The 14,983-nt window shown below is 40.6% G+C and overlaps 1 long non-coding RNA gene across 1 annotated transcript, besides 2 other annotated features; it reads left to right on the top strand.

Annotated features, from left to right (window-relative positions):
* Positions 5,999-6,578: an enhancer, noted in NCBI's record as "NANOG-H3K27ac hESC enhancer chr12:10491206-10491785 (GRCh37/hg19 assembly coordinates)". NCBI's record gives its function as "activates a minimal SCP1, AML or CMV promoter by ChIP-STARR-seq in naive and primed H9 embryonic stem cells {active_cell/tissue: H9 hESC(naive and primed)}" and the evidence as "EXISTENCE:reporter gene assay evidence [ECO:0000049][PMID:30033119]".
* Positions 6,579-7,157: an enhancer, noted in NCBI's record as "NANOG-H3K27ac hESC enhancer chr12:10490627-10491205 (GRCh37/hg19 assembly coordinates)". NCBI's record gives its function as "activates a minimal SCP1, AML or CMV promoter by ChIP-STARR-seq in naive and primed H9 embryonic stem cells {active_cell/tissue: H9 hESC(naive and primed)}" and the evidence as "EXISTENCE:reporter gene assay evidence [ECO:0000049][PMID:30033119]".
* LINC02617 (long intergenic non-protein coding RNA 2617) lies at positions 6,893-12,325 on the top strand. Its single transcript, NR_159946.1, has 3 exons — positions 6,893-7,140; positions 8,876-9,073; positions 12,122-12,325. It is a non-coding gene; the product is annotated as a long intergenic non-protein coding RNA 2617 (long non-coding RNA).
* Positions 12,326-14,983: the final 2,658 nt, after the last annotated feature.

The raw sequence follows: 14,983 nt of genomic DNA, 5'->3' as shown, positions 1-14,983 counted from the left end.
CAGAGAAATGCAAGTCAAAACCACAATGAGATACCATCTCACACCAGTTAGAATGGCAATCATTAAAAAGTCAGGAAACAACAGGTGCTGGAGAGGATGTGGAGAAATAGGAACACTTTTACACTGTTGGTGGGACTGTAAACTAGTTCAACCATTGTGGAAGTCAGTGTGGCAATGCCTCAGGGATCTAGAACTGGAAATACCATTTGACCCAGCCATCCCATTACTGGGTATATATCCAAAGGACTATAAATCATGCTGCTATAAAGACACATGCACACGTATGTTTATTGCAGCACTATTCACAATAGCAAAGACTTGGAACCAACCCAAATGTCCAACAATGATAGACTGGATTAAGAAAATGTGGCACATATACACCATGGAATACTATGCAGCCATAAAAAATGATGAGTTCATGTCCTTTGTAGGGACATGGATGAAATTGGAAATCATCATTCTCAGTAAACTATCGCAAGAACAAAAAACCAAACACTGCATATTCTCACTCATAGGTGGGAATTGAACAATGAGAACACATGGACACAGGAAGGGGAACATCACACTCTGGGGACTGTTGTGTGGTGCGGGGAGTGGGGAGGGATAGCATTGGGAGATATACCTAATGCTAGGTGATGAGTTAGTGGGTGCAGCGCACCAGCATGTCACGTGTACACATATGTAACTAACCTGCACATTGTGCACATGTACCCTAAAATTTAAAGTATAATAATAATAATAATAATAATAATAGTAATAGTAATAAAAACTAAGAAAAAAAAATAAAAAATAAAAAATAAAAAATGTACAAAAAAAAGAAATACTATACAGCCTTTAAAAAGAAGGAACTTCTGTCATTCGTGACAACATAGAAACATGTGGAGGACATTATGCTAACTAAAAGAACCCAGGCACATAAGGAAAAATACTGCATGATCTCATTTATATTTGGAATCTAAAAAAGTTGAGCTCATGGAAGCAGCAAGAATAATGGTGGTTATCAGAGGCTGAAGGTACAGGGGGGTAATGAAGAAAAGGGAGACATTGGTCAGAGGGTACAAAGTGTTAGTTAGACAGAAGGAATAAGTTTTAGTAATCTATTCCATAGCATAGTGATGATAACTAATAATAATATATTGTATATTTTGAAATTGCTAAAAAAGTAAATTTTAAATATTTTATCACAAAAAATAAGTAGGTGAGTTGATGGCTATGTTAATGACTTTGATTTAATCCTTCTACAATGTATGCATATATCAATATATCACATTTTACGCCATAAATGCATAAAATTATTTGTCAGTAAAACTTTTAAAATAACAAAATAAAAAATAATAAAATGTGAATAGACTCAGAAGGCTATCAATAAGCCAAACTTTTGTTCACTGAACATCCAGAAGGAAAGAAAAAAAGATATCAGTGCATGAGCAGCTAAAACTCTGAGAGAAACATATTTTCCTTCTCAGACAAATCAGGAAAAAGGATTTCTGGAGCTGAGAAAATATGGGAAATTTCAGAGAGGACAAAGTTGGAGAAGAGGATAGCTTAATTTTGTATATGAGTTGACACAAGTACAGGGTTCACCTATTAATTACACAAGTATAGTACAAAGCCAAGATAGCGTGGCAAAGGATTTGGGAACTGAACTATGATTTGTACCACTATCTAAGTCCCACATTCATGACTGAGTGACTCATGAGCAGAGTGGACCCTGAGCGGCATAACGAAGGTTTTGAAACTGAACCTATATGGGACAATAATCCAAAGAAAGCAAAAGACACAAAGAAATTTGGGGCATGATGGACAAGTTTATTATCTTAACGGTCATTTCATAAATACAACACATATGTCGAAACACATGTACCTTTAAACATGTGCCCTTTAGGGTATGTATCAATTATACCTCAATAAAGCTGAAAAAAAAAAAAGAGCAAACGCTTTCAATTCACCAGCCACAAAATATTAGAAAATGAAAGTAGATAAATAAGACCATATTCTATAACACCATAAACTATTAAATACCTAAGAAAAAAATCTAACAAGAATTTTGTCAGACATTATTGCTAAAATTGGTGAAGTTTTTCTGTGAAAAAGTAAAGGCAGGCCAGGCGCGGTGGCTCACGCTTGTAATCCCAGCACTTTGAGAGGCCAAGCCAGGCGGATCACGAGGTCAGGAGATCAAGACCATCCTGGCTAACACGGTGAAACCCCGTCTCTACTAAAAAAATACAAAAAATTAGCCAGGCGTGGTGGCGGGCGCCTGTAGTCCCAGCTACTCGGGAGGCTGAGGCAGGAGAATGGCGTGAACCTGGAAGGCAGAGCTTGCAGTGAGCGGAGATCATGCCACTGCACTCCAGCCCAGGCAACAGAGCGAGACCCCGTCTCAAAAAAAAAAAAAAAAAAAAAGTAAAGGCAACCTAAATAAATAGACAGATAATTTTTGTTCATGGATTGGAAGATTCAGCACGGTTAAGGTGTTTGTTCTCTTCTAATACATGTAGAATCTAGAAATATAGCTTCCATACAATTTCAATATAAAATCCAGTCTGTGTGTATGTATGCAAAATACAAGGTAATTTACACACGCAAAAAACTTAGAAAATATATGTATATTATATGTATGCAAATATATATAATTAATAAATGGTAGCCAAAGGCTTAACAGACATTATACAGAAGAGGACATCCAAATGACCAAAAAGTTATAGGTGCCATTAATCATAAGAGAATTCAGATTTAAGCTACAATTATATGCCAATGTATAATATGGCCCAAAATATGTGAAGCTTAAAAAAAAAAAAGATCAACAATAGAAGTGTTGGCAAGGAAGCAGGCAATGTTACTGAAACAGCCATTGCTTACTGCACAGAAAGCAAACCACTGAGACAAGTGTTGCCAGAGAAGAAGGGTTTATTTGGGTGCCGCAGCTGAGGAGATGGGAAGTCAGTCTCAAATTCATCTCCTCAATTGACTAAAATTAGAGGTTTATGTAGCAGGAAAAAAAAAATGTAACTGTATGTGGGAAAATAGGAATTAGGGAGGGGTAAGGAAGAGGAGTTGGTCAACAGGAAGCAGGTGGTTGGTTAGGCAACTATGATGGGTTAGGTGTCTGGCTCTCATAGTCCAGATGTGGTGATCTGGTAAGTTTCAGTTCCTTGATACTTTCTGGGAGGTCTGATGGTTGGTTTCCTAGGAAGGAAACTCAGATTAGACAAATGTAGGTTTCTCAAGTTTTAAGACTGAGAGGGTCAATTTCTATGTTTGTTTAAAAGAAACAATAAACATCAGTTCTGTGGGACAATTTGGCTGGTTTCTGCAACAGAGAGTCATATAAAACCACTGGTAAAATTATACATTTTTCCCAGCACTTTGGAAAACTGTTTGGGATTACCTTCTAGATCTAAATACATGCCTCCACTATGACTTAGAAATTTATTTTTTCAATATGCATGTAAGGGAAATGAGGATACATATCCACTAAAAGCGTACATGTACAAGAAAAATAAAAATGTTTAGAGAAGTTTTATTCATAATATTAAAAAATAGGTAATAACTAAAGTGGCCATCACGAGTAGAACAATAGAAGCAAATTGTTGTATATTCATATAATGGAATTCTACTGGTAATAAAAAGTATCACACATAGGCATGAGCAAAGACTTCATGATGAAGATGTCAAAAGCAATTGTGACAAAACCAAAAATTGACACAAAAAATTGACAAACCTGATTAAACTAAAGAGCTTCTGCACAGCAAAGGAAACTATTATCAGAGTGAACAGATAACCTATGGAATGGGAGAATAGTTTTGCAATCCAACTATCTGACCATCGTCTAATGTCCAGCATCTACACAGAACTTAAACAAATTTACAGGAAAGAAACAACCCCATTAAAAAGTGGGAAAATGATATGAACAGACATTTCTCAAAAGAAGACTTACATGCGGCCAACAAACATATGAAAAAAAGCTCAACATCACTGATCATTAGAAGAATGCAAAGCAAAACCACAAGATATTATCTCACACCAGTCAGAATGGCTATTGTTAAAAAGTCAAAAAAACAACAGATGCTGGCAAAGTTGTGGAGAAAAAGAAACGCTTTTACACTGTTGATGGGAATGTAAATTAGTTCAACCATTGTGGAAAACAGTGTAGTGACTCCTCAAAGACCTAGAGGCAGAAATACCATTTGACCCAGAAATCCCATTACTGGGTATATATCCAAAGGAATGTAAATCATTCCATTATGAAGATACATGCACATGTAAGTTCACTGAAATACTATTCACAATAACAGACATATGGAATCAACCTAAATGCCCATCAGTGAGAGACTGGATAAAGAAAATGTGGTACATATATACCATGGAATACAATGCAGCCATAAAAAGAAACAAGATCGTGTCCTTCGCAGGGACATGATGGAGCTGGAGGCCATTATCCTCGGCAAACTAATGCAGGAACAGAAAACAAAACACCGCATGGTCTCACTTATAAGACGGAGCTGAATGATGAGAACACATGGACACATTGTGGGGAACAACATACCTTGGGGCCTGTCAGAGGGTGGGTGGGGAGGAGGGAGAGTATCAGGGAAAATGTCTAAGGGATTCTGGCCTTGATACCTAGGTGATGGGATGATCTGTGCAGCAAACCACCATGGCACATGTTTGCCTCTGTAGCAAACATGCACATTCTGCACATGTACCCCTGACTTTAAAATAAAATTTAAAAAAGTATCACAGACTTTAAGCTGAGAGAAAGGATGCAGATGCAAAGAATATGTACTTCATTATTTCACTTACATGATGTCCACAAAGAGGCAAAAATGATTTACAAAGTTAGACATCAGAATAGTGGTTTTCTTAAGGCTAAAAGAATAATTATTAATAGACACGAGGCATGAAGGAGGCTTTGTTGGTTCTAGGAACAGTCTGTATCTCAAACTGGTTAATAACTGTATGGGTGTATGCATGAATAAAAAATTCATCAAGTACTTATAATTTGTGCACTTTATTTGTGTTATCTCTCAAGTTTAAAAAATGAGGAAATTCGTAAGAGGGGAAGAGTTGATAGTCCTGATGTGTATGAATTGACTTCTAAGCTCTAATTAGAATAAAAAGCAGTTCCATAAATTTAAAAATGGCAGAAATGGTATACTATTTAGGAGCATGTAGATGTAGCAGGATTTTATTTTGGAAGAATAAACTTACACTTATTTGTGTGTGTTTTCCTTATGCCTCTATGCTTCCAATACATTGCTGTTCACTCAGCTAGATTATTCCATGTTAATTTTCTAATTTCATAGTAAAAGCATAAAAGAAAAAGAAAAAAGAAAAAGGTCTCTACTCAGAGAAATATCATGCCACAAACAAAAAGGATTTTTTTAAAGAAAATCTTGTATATAAAAGTGGTCTTCCCCTTCCCAAAGACTAGAAATAAATTCCCAGGAATGCAGGCAAGGGTCAGGGAGGAAGTATCGAGAAAAAGAGAGAAATCAGAAAGGCCTCTGTTAAGTATGACTAATAGGAAGGGGCCAAGCTGGCCGGGCGTGGTGGCTCATGCTTGTAATTCCAGCACTTTGGGAAGCCAAGGCGGGTGGATCACTTGAGATCAAGAGCCTGGCCAACATGATAAAACCCCATCTCTAATAAAAATACAAAAATTAGGTGGCCATGATGGCACTTGCCTGTAATCCCACCTACTCAGGAGGCTGAGGCTTGAGAATCTCTTGAACCCGAGGTCGGAGGTTGCAGTGAGCTGAGATCGTGCCACTGCACTCCAGCCTGGGTAGCAGAGCAAGCAAGCAAGCAGCCTGGGTGTCAAAAAAAAAAAAAAAAGAAGGAAGGGGCCAAACCATGAAAAAAAAAAGCTGCTCTGCCTTGGGCCACCACTAACCTCTACTCAAGCCAGCATCTTCTGCTATCAGTGCCCTGAAGTGATGTGAGAGCTGAAGGGGCAACAGGAACCTCCAAAGAAGCACAGCTCAGGCTCTAGTTGAGTGAGAAAAACGTGCTCCTTCTTAGGGGAAGGCAGCTTCTGATGTGGACTTCCTTTTGACAGCAGACACCACCATCCTATTTGAGACCATCTGGATCACCACTCCCCATACAACTGTTCATAAGACCGCAAAAAGGCAAATGGATCTCTGGACATCTGATAGGGTGGTGATGTGAAATGGATCACCCTCACCTTTACCTATACTTTGGTGTGGTCAAATATAGAATGAGAACTCTGGTTCTATCACAGAAAACCTCTGGAGCAAATGAAATCTCAAGAGAGAAGGATGGGGAGATGGGACAGGTGGGACAGATTTTGATGATAAGTTCTTTAGTATTTAGGGATATATTTTAATGTTAAGCATTATAAGTACCTCATTTTTATAAGGAGTGTATTTTAAAATTTAAAGTATATTGCTCTGGAAACAGTTAAGCCAAAACTTTGCATATATGCGAGAAATATAGTGCATAAACATGCTAAGTCAGTGTTCAAACATTTTGGCTGATATTTTCTAATTTGCATCTTTCATCATATAACTTGTGTCAGGCCTCTGAGCCTAAGCCAAGCCATCGCATCCCCTGTGACTTGCACATATACGCCCAGATGGCCTGAAGCAACTGAAGAATCACAAAAGAAGTGAATATGCCCTGCCCCACCTTAACTGATGACATTCCACCACAAAAGAAGTGTAAATGGCCGGTCCTTGCCTTAACTGATGACATTACCTTGTGAAAGTCCTTTTCCTGGCTCATCTTGGCTCAAAAATCACCCCCACTGAGCACCTTGCGACCCCCCCACTCCTGCCCGCCAGAGAACAAACCCCCTTTGACTGCAATTTTCCTTTACCTACCCAAATCCTATAAAACGGCCCCACCCTTATCTCCCTTTCCTGACTCTTTTCGGACTCAGCCCGCCTGCACCCAGGTGAAATAAACAGCCATGTTGCTCACACAAAGCCTGTTTGGTGGTCTCTTCATACAGACGCGCATGAAATTTGGTGCCGTGACTCGGATCGGGGGACCTCCCTTGGGAGATCAATCCCCTGTACTCCTGTTCTTTGCTCCGTGAGAAAGATCCACCTATGACCTCAGGTCCTCAGACCGACCAGCCCAAGGAACATCTCACCAATTTTAAATCAGGTAAGTGTCCTCTTCTTACTCTCTTCTCCAACCTCTCTCACTGTCCCTCAACCACTTTCTCCTTTCCACTCTTCAATCTCTCCCTTTTCTTAATTTCTATTCCTTTCATTTTCTGGGAAAGACAAAGGAGACACATTTTATCCATGGACCCAAAACTCCTGCGCCGGTCACGGACTGGGAAGGCAGCCTTCCCTTGGTGTTTAATCATTGCAGGGACACCTCTCTGATTATACACTCACGTTTCAAGGGTGTCAGACCACACAGGGACACCTGCCTTGGTCCTTCACCCTTAGCAGCAAGTCCCGCTTTTCTGGGGAAGGGGCAAGTACCCCAACCCCTTCTCTCCTTGTCTCTACCCCTTCTCTGCTTTTCTGGGACAGGGGCAAGTACCCCTCAACCCCTTCTCCTTCACCCTTAGCGGCAAGTCCCGCTTTTCTATGGGGTAAGAACCCCCAATCCCTTATTTCCGTGCCCCAACCTCTTATATCTCTGCACCCCAATCCCTTATTTCCGCACCCCAACCTCTTATCTCTGTGCCCCAACCCCTTTTCCCACTTTTCTGGAAGGTAAGAACCCCCGAACCCCTTCCCTCCATTTCTCTACTCTCTCTTTTCTCTAGGCTTGCTTCCTTCACTATGGGCAACCTTCCACCCTCCATTCCTCCTTCTACTCCCTTGGCCTGTGTTCTCAAAAACTTAAAACCTCTTCAACTCACACCTGACCTAAAACCTAAATGCCTTATTTTCTTCTGCAATGCCGCTTGACCCCAATACAAACTCGACAGTAGTTCCAAATAGCCAGAAAATGGCACTTTGAATTTTTCCATCCTGCAAAATCTAAATAATTCTTGTCGTAAAATAGGCAAACGGTCTGAGATGCCTGACATCCAGGCATTCTTTTACACATCAGTCCCTCCCTAGTCTCTGTGCCCAGTGCAACTCGTCCCAAATCTTCCTTCTTTCCCTCCCGCCTGTCCCGTCAGTACCAACCCCAAGCGTCGCTGAGTCTTTCTAATCTTCCTTTTCTACAGACCCATCTGACCTCTCCCCTCCTCCCCAGGCTGCTCCTCGCCAGGCTGAGCTAGGTCCCAATTCTTCCTCAGCCTCTGCTCCTCCACCCTATAATCCTTTTATCACCTCCCCTCCTCACACCTGGTCCGGCTTACAGTTTCTTTCCTTGACTAGCCCTCCCCCACCTGCCCAGCAATTTACTCTTAAAAAGGTTCCTGGAGCTAAAGACATAATCAAGGTTAACGCTCCTTTTTCTTTCTCCCAAATCAGAAGTGTTTAGGCTCTTTTTCATCAAATATAAAAATCCAGCCCAGTTCATGGCTCGTTCGGCAGCAACCCTGGGACACTTTACAGCCCTAGACCCTAAAAGGTCAAAAGGCCGTCTTATTCTCAATATACATTTTATTACCCAATCTGCTCCTGACATTAAATAAAACTCCAAAAATTGGAATCTGGCCCTCAAACCCCACAACAGGACTTCATTAACCTCACCTTCAAGGTGTACAATAACAGAAAAAAGTTGCAATTCTTTGCCTCCACTGTGAGACAAACCCCAGCCACATCTCCAGCACACAAGAACTTCCAAACGTCTGAAACGCAGCAGCCAGGCATTCCTCCAGAACCTCCTCCCCCAGGAGCTTGCTACACATGCTGGAAATCTGGCCACTGGGCCAAGGAATGCCTGCAGCCTGGGATTCCTCCTAAGCCACGTCCCATCTGTGTAGGACACCACTGAAAATCGGACTGTTCAACTCACCTGGCAGCCACTCCCAGAGCCCCTGGAACTCTGGCCCAAGGCTCTCTGACTGACTCCTTCCCAGATTTTCTCAGCTTAGCAGCTGAAGACTGACGCTGCCGGATCGCCTCGGAAGCCCCCTAGACCATCACGGACGCCGAGCTTCCGGTAACTCTCACAGTGGAAGGTAAGCCCGTCCCCTTCTTAATCAATACAGAGGTTACCCACTCCACATTACCTTCTTTTCAAGGGCCTGTTTCCCTTGCCTCCATAACTGTTGTAAGTACTGATGGCCAGGCTTCTAAACCTCTTAAAACTCCCCAACTCTGGTGCCAACTTAGACAATACTCTTTCAAGCACTCCTTTTTAGTTATCCCCACCTGCCCAGTTCCCTTATTAGGCTGAGACACTTTAACTAAATTATCTGCTTCCCTGACTACTCCTGGATTACAGCTATATCTCATTGCCGCCCTTCTTCCCAATCCAAAGCCTCCTTTGCGTCCTCCTCTTGTATCCCCCCACCTTAACCCACAAGTATAAGATACCTCTACTCCCTCCTTGGTGACCGATCATGCACCCCTTACCATCTCATTAAAACCTAATCACCCTTACCCCACTCAACGCCAATATCCCATCCCGCAGCACGCTTTAAAAAGATTAAAGCCTGTTATCACTCGCCTGCTACAGCATAGCCTTTTAAAGCCTATAAACTCTCCTTACAATTCCCCCATTTTACCTGTCCTAAAACCAGACAAGCCTTACAAGTTAGTTCAGGATCTGCGCCTTAGCAACCAAATTGTTTTGCCTATCCACCCTGCAGTGCCCAACCCGTACACTCTTTTGTCCTCAATACCTTCCTCCACAACTCACTGTTCCGTGCTTGATCTTAAAGATGCTTTTTTCACTATTCCCCTGCACCTCTCGTCCCAGCCTCTCTTCGCTTTCACTTAGACTGACCCTGACACCCATTAGGCTCAGCAAATTACCTAGGCTGTACTGCTGCAAGGCTTAGTAGACAGCCCCCATTACTTCAGTCAAGCCCAAATTTCATCCTCATCTGTTACCTATCTCGGCATAATTCTCATAAAAACACACGTGCTCTCCCAGCTGATTGTGTCCCATTAATCTCCCAAACTTCAATCCCTTACAAAACAACTCCTTTCCTTCCTAGGCATAGTTAGTGAGGTCAGAATTCTTACACAAGAGCCAGGACCACACCCTGTAGCCTTTCTGTGCAAACAACTTGACCTTACTGTTTTAGCCTAGCCCTCATGTCTGCATGCAGCGGCTGCCGCTGCTTTAATACTTTTAGAGGCCCTCAAAATCACAAACTATGCTCAACTCACTCTCTACAGTTCTCATAACTTCCAAAATCTATTTTCTTCCTCATACCTGACGCATATACTTTCTGCTCCCCGGCTCCTTCAGCTGTACTCACTCTTTGTTGAGTCTCCCACAATTACCGTTGTTCCTGGCCCAGACTTCAATCCAGCCTCCCACATTATTCCTGAGACCACACCTGACCCCCATGACTGTATCTCTCTGATCCACCTGACATTCACCCCATTTCCCCAAATTTCCTTCTTTCCCGTTCCTCACCCTGATCACGCTTGATTTATTGATGGCAGTTCCACCAGGCCTAATCGCCACACACCAGCGAAGGCAGGTTATACTATAGTACAAGCCACTAGCCCGCCTCTTAGAACCTCTCATTTCCTTTCCATCGTGGAAATCTATCCTCAAGGAAATAACTTCTCAGTGTTCCATCTGCTATTCTACTACTCCTCAGGGATTATTCAGGCCCCCCCCCCCTTCCCTATACATCAAGCTTGAGGATTTACCCCCACCCAGGACTCGCAAATTAACTTTACTCAACATGCCCTGAGTAAGATAACTAAAATGCCTCTTAGTCTAGGTAGATACTTTCACTGGATAGGTAGAGGCCTTTCCTACAGGGTCTGAGAAGGCCACCGCAGTCATTTCTTCCCTTCTGTCAGACATAATTCCTCAGTTTAGCCTTCCCACCTCAATACAGTCTGATAACAGACGAGCCTTTATTAGTCAAATCAGCCAAGCAGTTTTTCAGGCTGTTAGTATTCAGTGAAACCTTTATATCACTTATATTACCAACTTAAAAAGGACTGGACAATACTTTAACCACTTTCCCTTCTCAGAATTCAGGCCTGTCCTCAGAATGCTACAAGGTACAACCCATTTAAGCTCCTGTATAGACGCTCCTTTTTATTAGGCCCCAGTCTCATTCCAGACACTAGACCAACTTAGACTGTGCCCCAAAAAACTTGTCATCCCTACTATCTTCTGTCTAGTCATACTCCTATTCACCGTTCTCAACTACTCATACATGCCCTGCTCTTGTTTACACTGCTGGTTTGCACTGTTTCTCCAAGCCATCACAGCTGATATCTCCTGGTGCTATCCCCAAACTGCCACTCTTAACTCTTGAAGTAAATAAATAATCTTTGCTGGCAGGACTATTCTGAATCTCCTTAGGCACTCTCTAATCGGATATCCTGAGTCGTCCCAATTCTTAGATCTTTTATACCTGTTTTTCTCCTTCTGTTATTCCATTTAGTTTCTCAATTCATCCAAAACCGTATTTAGGCCATCACCAATCATTCTATACGACAAATGTTTCTTCTAACATCCCCACAATATCACCCCTTACCACAAGACCTCCCTTCAGCTTAATCTCTCCCACTCTAGGTTCCCACGCCACCCCTAATCCCACTTGAAGCAGCCCTGAGAAACATCGCCCATTCTCTCTCCATACCAACCCCCAAAAATTTTCACTGCCCCAACACTTCAACACTATTTTGTTTTATTTTTCTATTAATATAAGAAGGCAGGAATGTCAGGCCTCTGAGCCCAAGCCAAGCCATCGCATCCCCTGTGACTTGCACATGTACGCCTAGATGGCCTGAAGTAACTGAAGAATCACAAAAGAAGTGAATATGCCCTGCCCCACCTTAACTGATGACATTCCACCACAAAAGAAGTGTAAATGGCTGGTCCTTGCCTTAACTGATGACATTACCTTGTGAAAGTCCTTTTCCTGGCTCATCCTGGCTCAAAAAGCACCCCCACTGAACACCTTGCAACCCCCCCACTCCTGCCCGCCAGAGAACAAACCCCCTTTGACTGTAATTTTCCTTTACCTACCCAAATCCTATAAAACGGCCCCACCCTTATCTCCCTTTGCTGACTCTCTTTTCAGACTCAGCCCGCCTGCACCCAGGTGAAATAAACGGCCATGTTGCTCACACAAAGCCTGTTTGGTGGTCTCTTCACACGGACGCGTGTGAAATTTGGTGCCAAAACCCGGGTACATCTTCCTGAATCAGGCTTCTGAGAACTGTTCCACTTTGCAGTCCTGTTGGATCTATATCTTGAGAAATAAATTAAAGAGCTTTTCCCTCCACAGTGACTCTTCGTATATTTGTAAACAAGTTTGGTTTTATTTGTTTTAATCATTTTGATTGAAATGTAGAACTAGAAACAAAATGATGGTGTCAAAAATAGTTTATTAGTTGTTAAGTTTTTAGGGAGTCAAAAGTTATATATGGATTGTCAACTGCAGAGGAGGTCAGTGGTCCTAATGCCCACATTGTTCAAGGTTGACTGTATGTGTGTAGACGTATATTTTTTTCTAGTTAAGGAGATAGCCATACAGTTTTACTTTTCTCATGAGCTTTATTTGTTCAATTTTTGTGAATGTTTCAGGTGCATTTGGAAAAAAATATATTTTATATTATCAGTGCATAGTGATCAATATGTATTCAAAATATCTGCTATACTATCTTATTTAGATCTTCCGGAAAATAACTTATTTTTGCCCACACTTTCTGCCTTATATTGAGAGTGGTATATTAAAATCACCCTGTATTAATATGTTATGGTCTTTTTTTTTCTTGCATCTCTTGTAATTTGTATTTTATATAAATAATCAGTGTATTAATTACTACATAAATTCTTAACTATGTACTCTTCATTGCAGTATGTAGATTTTAATATTATACAACATCTTTCTTTGCCTCATTTAGTTCTGTTTTTATGTCTACTTCTTTGGCATCAGAATTGCAACCCCTTTCTTATTGCTAACATTCATCTTGTAAATCTTTGTTCATTATTTTACTGTGGTATACTATTACCTCTCACAGTTCAACTCCTGTTTCATACCAACCTTATTATTTTTTTGGCATTTGTGGTCTTGTTTTTATGATTGCGTTAGAATGTCTAATTCAATTTGCAGTGTTTATTACACTTTTCATCTGCTTAGTGGTTGTTTCCTTTTTTGAGTGAGTGATTTTTCAAAAGAAAAATATTTTTATTTACATTATCTGAAGTTTTAAAGAGGTTTCACATAAATATGGTCTGTTTTTTCCTATTCCTGTTTCGTGGACAAGGAACCTAGTTAGAGAGCTCCCTCTTCTGTCAGTTCTGTCCTATTCAGCATAGTGTCCTCTATGGGTGGTGGTGATGATGGGATTGGGAAGGGCAAATGATAGTCATGTCTTTTTTCTCTTTCCTTTCTGCAGGATTCTTAAGTCCCTCACATTACTTATTTGCTTTGATAGTCACATTTCTAAGGAGTGTCACTCCTTTATTTTCTGCTTCTCTCCAAGAAACCATTGTTTTCCTTTCCAAGTTTTCCACTTCTGGTCTTCAGTTTCAAGCCTTTTCCCAGTACTATGAACTACCAAGTCCAAAATTGTGTTAAGTATTCTGGCATTGATTGTTGAAGTTTTATCTTTCAGGGTTTATTGTATCTGTGATTCATTTATGTCCTCTAGTCTTCTCTTCTGAGTATGTTAAAGACTAATCTCCCTATCCTGCACCGCAGGTATTCAGTGGTAGGCAGGAGCGAGTGTTCTTTTGCAATATTTTTTCTCTATTTATAGGTAATTTGAAGGTTGTGGTACTCTATGTGTCCTAGAGATGTTGAAAGGATAAGGTATTATGTGGTTTTATTTGCTTTTCTTATTAATTTTATGAGTTTGGGGGAGAGATAGGAGATATCTGGGATTAGACAACCATCTCTGCAACGTGAGAAACTGAGGATTTAGCTACTGTTATTTGTTAAAGTGCCCTTTCTCTTAAATCCTTACTCTGAAATCTATTTCATACTTCAAACCTGTCAAAGGTTGTATGGAAGACTTATTATAAGCTCTCAATAAATAAAAATTCTAAAATGTTAACCTCAGGTGACTGTGTTCTTAATGTACAGGCTTACTTTCTTGTAGCCTGTCTGTGTAATTTATTTAGTATTTTAACAAACAGCTGTCACCTATGTTGGCTGAAAAAATGCAAGTCTAACCATTTTAATGTTGGAGCAATTAAAACCATGTATGAAAAAAATATTACATTGGATTTTACAACATATGTGCATCATAGCTAGAAACACTTCTAAGAATATATTTAAGAAAACCTCAGTTGGCGAGTAGAAAATATCAGAAAGCCTACTTAGTACTATATGGGATTGTGTTATCATAGCTCATACAGGATGTTTGGTGGCGTTGTGTACAGTGGTATTTGTTCTCTCCATCATGAGGTAACTCCAGCCACAATTTTTTCCATTTACGCATGGTAATGTTTTGTCCATTTAAGATGCAATTAAATTTCATTGTATTGTATTCCAGTTTAGAAATACAGCAAATGTTTTTATATATACATTAAATTTAAAATATATACATATACATACACATAAATTATAAATATGTATCTTATTTTTATATATTTAAATTATAAAATAAATGGTGGAGTAAAATTAGCAAGATGACAGAGTGGGAAGCCCTGGTCTCTTTTCTCTCTACAAATGCACCAATTCAACTAAAAATTCATAGACAAATTTTCTTTGTGGGAAATTAAGAAACTAGTTGAGATGCTCCAATGCTGTTGGTGAAACTACTCATGTTGAAGCCTTAGGGAAATCTAAGGTACACTCCTTCCCTAATTCCTGCCCCCAGCACAGTGCCAAAAAACCAGGGAGAAACTCCCCTGCTCCCAGCTTTGCTCTTGGTTAATAAATGATGGATGGCATGTCCAATTCCCCAATTTTTCCAGGGGCTACTCCTAAGAC

Source organism: Homo sapiens, chromosome 12 (assembly GCF_000001405.40).
Source record: "Homo sapiens chromosome 12, GRCh38.p14 Primary Assembly".
Classification (NCBI taxonomy): Eukaryota; Metazoa; Chordata; class Mammalia; order Primates; family Hominidae; genus Homo; species Homo sapiens.
Note: the sequence above shows the minus strand (reverse complement) of the source record. Positions and strands in the feature narration are given on the sequence as shown.